Raw genomic sequence first — 3,075 nt, 5'->3', positions numbered from 1 at the left:
GAGTGCCAATTGGTGTATTTACAATCCCTGAGCTAGACATAAAGGTTCTCCAAGGCCCCACCAGAGTAGCTAGATACAGTGTCAATTGGTGCATTCACAAACCCTGAGCTAGACACAGTGTGCTGATTGATGTATTTACAATCCCTGAGCTAGACACAGGGTGCTGATTGGTGTGTTTACAAACCTTGAGCTAGATACAGAGTGCGATTGGTGTATTTACAATCCTTGAGCTAGACATAAAGCTTCTCTAAGGCCCCACCAGACTCAGGAGCACAGCTGGCTTCACCCAGTGGGTCCCACACCAGGGCTGCAGGTGGAGCTGCCTGCCAGTCCCACGCCGTGTGCCTGCACTCCTCAGCCCTTGGGTGGTCGATGGGACTGGGTGCTGTGGAGCAGGGGGCGGTGCTCGTCGGGGAGGCTCGGGCCACACAGGAGCCCATGGAGGGGGTGGGAGGCTCAGGCATGGTGGGCTGCAGGTCCCGAGCCCTGCCCTGTGGGAAGGCAGCTAAGGCCTGGTGAGAAATTGAGTGCAGCGCCGGTGGGCTGGCACTGCAGGGGGACCCAGTATACCCTCTGCAGCCACTGGCCCAGGTGCTAAGCCCGTCATTACCTGGGGCTGGCAGGGCCGGCCGGCTGCTCCGAGTGTGGGGCCCGCCAAGCCCACACCCACCCAGAACTCCAGCTGGCCCGCAAGCACCGGCCCAGTTCCTGCTCGCGCCTCTCCCTCCACACCTCTCTGCAAGCTGAGGGAGCCGGCTCCGGCCTTGGCCAGCCCTGAAAGGGGCTCCCACAGTGCAGTGGTGGGCCGAAGGGCTCCTCAAGTGCTGCCAAAGTGGGAGCCCAGGCAGAGGAGGCGCTGAGAGCGAGCGAGGGCTGTGAGGACTGCCAGCATGCTGTCACCTCTCAAAGGGATTAATAACCAGAATATATAAGCTGTATGTCCAAACACCTCTATAGGAAGAAAATCTAATCCAATTAATGGGCAAAGGATTTGAATAGACATTTGTCAAAAAAGAAGTGATAAATGGCAAACAGGCATATGAAAATGTGCTCAACATCATTGATCATCAGAGAAATGCAGATCAAAACTACAATGAGATATCATCTTACCCTAGTTAGAATGGATTTTATCCAAAAGACAGGCAATATTAAATGCTGGTGAGGATGTGGAGAAAAGAGAACCCTTGTACACTGCTGGTGGAAATTTAAATTAGTACAACCACTATGGAGAACAGTTTAGAGGTTCCTCAAGAAACTGAAAATAGAGCTGCTGTAAGATCCAGCAATCCCACTGCTACATATCTACCCAAAAGAAAGGAAATCAGTATATCAAAGAGATAACCTGCACTCCCATGTTTGTCCACAATAGCCAATATTTGGAAACAACTTAAGTATCCATCAACAGATGAGTAGATAAAGAAAATGTGGTACTCATACACAATGGAATACTATTCAGCCTTAAAGAATGAGATCTTGTCATTTGCAACATGGATGGAACTCGAAGATCATTATGTTAAGTGAAACAAGTCAGGCACAGAAAGACAAACATCACATGTTCTCATTTATTAGTAGGATCCAAAATCAAAATGATTAAATTCATGGATGGTTACCAGAGGCTGGAAAGGATAGTGGGGGTGAGGGTGGAGGGGAGGTGGGGATGGTTAATGGGTATTAAAAAAATAGAATGAATAAGACCTACTGTTTGATAGCCCAACAGGGTGACTATAGTCAAAATAATTCAGTTGTACATTTTAATATAATAAAGTATAATTCGATTGTTTGTAAAACAAAGGATAAATGCTTGAGGAGATGGCTACCCCCATTTTCCATGATGTGATTGTTACACATTGCAGACCTGTATAAAAATATCTCATGTACTCCATAAATATATATACCTATGTACCCACAAAAATTGAAAATTAAAAATTATTGGCAGTATCAAAGTTTGCATGTATCTCCAAAAAAATTATTACAGGAAATTGCTGTGAGACTATTTGGAAAGAAATGTAATTTAAAAATTAATATAAATTTTGTCAGCTGGCTTAAGAGCCTGTGGTTAAGACTTAGTTTAAAACAGAAATTTTCAAACTCTTCTTCAGAGGGCTAGGGCTTTATTGAAGGTGCCTCAAGGGCCACTGAGAAGGATAGTGCCACTAATAGAAATAGCTTTAGGCTTTCCCTATCGGATCCACTTTTATCCAATTTTTATTATTAAAAATATAAATAAGAATAGTGCAGTTATTAACAATATTTAAAATGTAAAATGTTGATTTTAAAAGTTTTATTGATGTATCCTTGACATATAATAAACTGTACATATTCAAAGTATACACACAATTTGATAAGTTCTGATATATACTATACACCTGTGAAATCATCACCACAATCTAACAAGACATACTCATCATGCCAAAAGTTTTCTTTGCCCCTGGTAATCCTTCCCCACCTTCTCCCCTCCCTCCTATTTTCCTGACTTTTATCACTTCCTTGGTTTTTTTTTCCAAATACCTCTGCCACTTTTGTGTGTCTGTATATGCCTAAACCAATGTAGTTTTGACTGTTTTTATAAAGCTGGAATCATATTGTGTATATTAAAATTATGTATTTCGTTCAGTATTACGTTTGTACTGTGCATCCATGTTGTTTTTGTTAGGTTCAGGTCATTTGTTCTCATTGCTCTATAGTATTCCATCTATGAATATTCCACAATTCATTTGTTCTACTAGAAGTTGGCGTTTGGGTCATTTTCAGTTCTTGGCTACTGTGAATAGTACTGCTATCAACGTGCATCGTCATACACTTGTATACAGGTTTTCTAGAGTATATATCCAGAACTGAGATATATACAACTGGGTCATAGGGGAAACAAAGGGGAAATGTGTATAGCCACACAGGCCATGTACTACTGTACAACTTGAGGCAGTAGCATTTCTATAGATAACAACATGAATGAAGCTTCTGGAGGTGTACAGAGTGGTGACTTTGGTAGGGAATGTTATCTTCAACTTTAGGAGAAAATGCAAAACTATTCTCCAAAGTGGTTGTACCCATTTATACTCCTCCCACAGCAATGCA

This window comes from Homo sapiens, chromosome 3 (genome assembly GCF_000001405.40).
Source record: "Homo sapiens chromosome 3, GRCh38.p14 Primary Assembly".
Lineage (NCBI taxonomy): Eukaryota > Metazoa > Chordata > Mammalia > Primates > Hominidae > Homo > Homo sapiens.
This window is presented reverse-complemented; position numbering follows the sequence as displayed.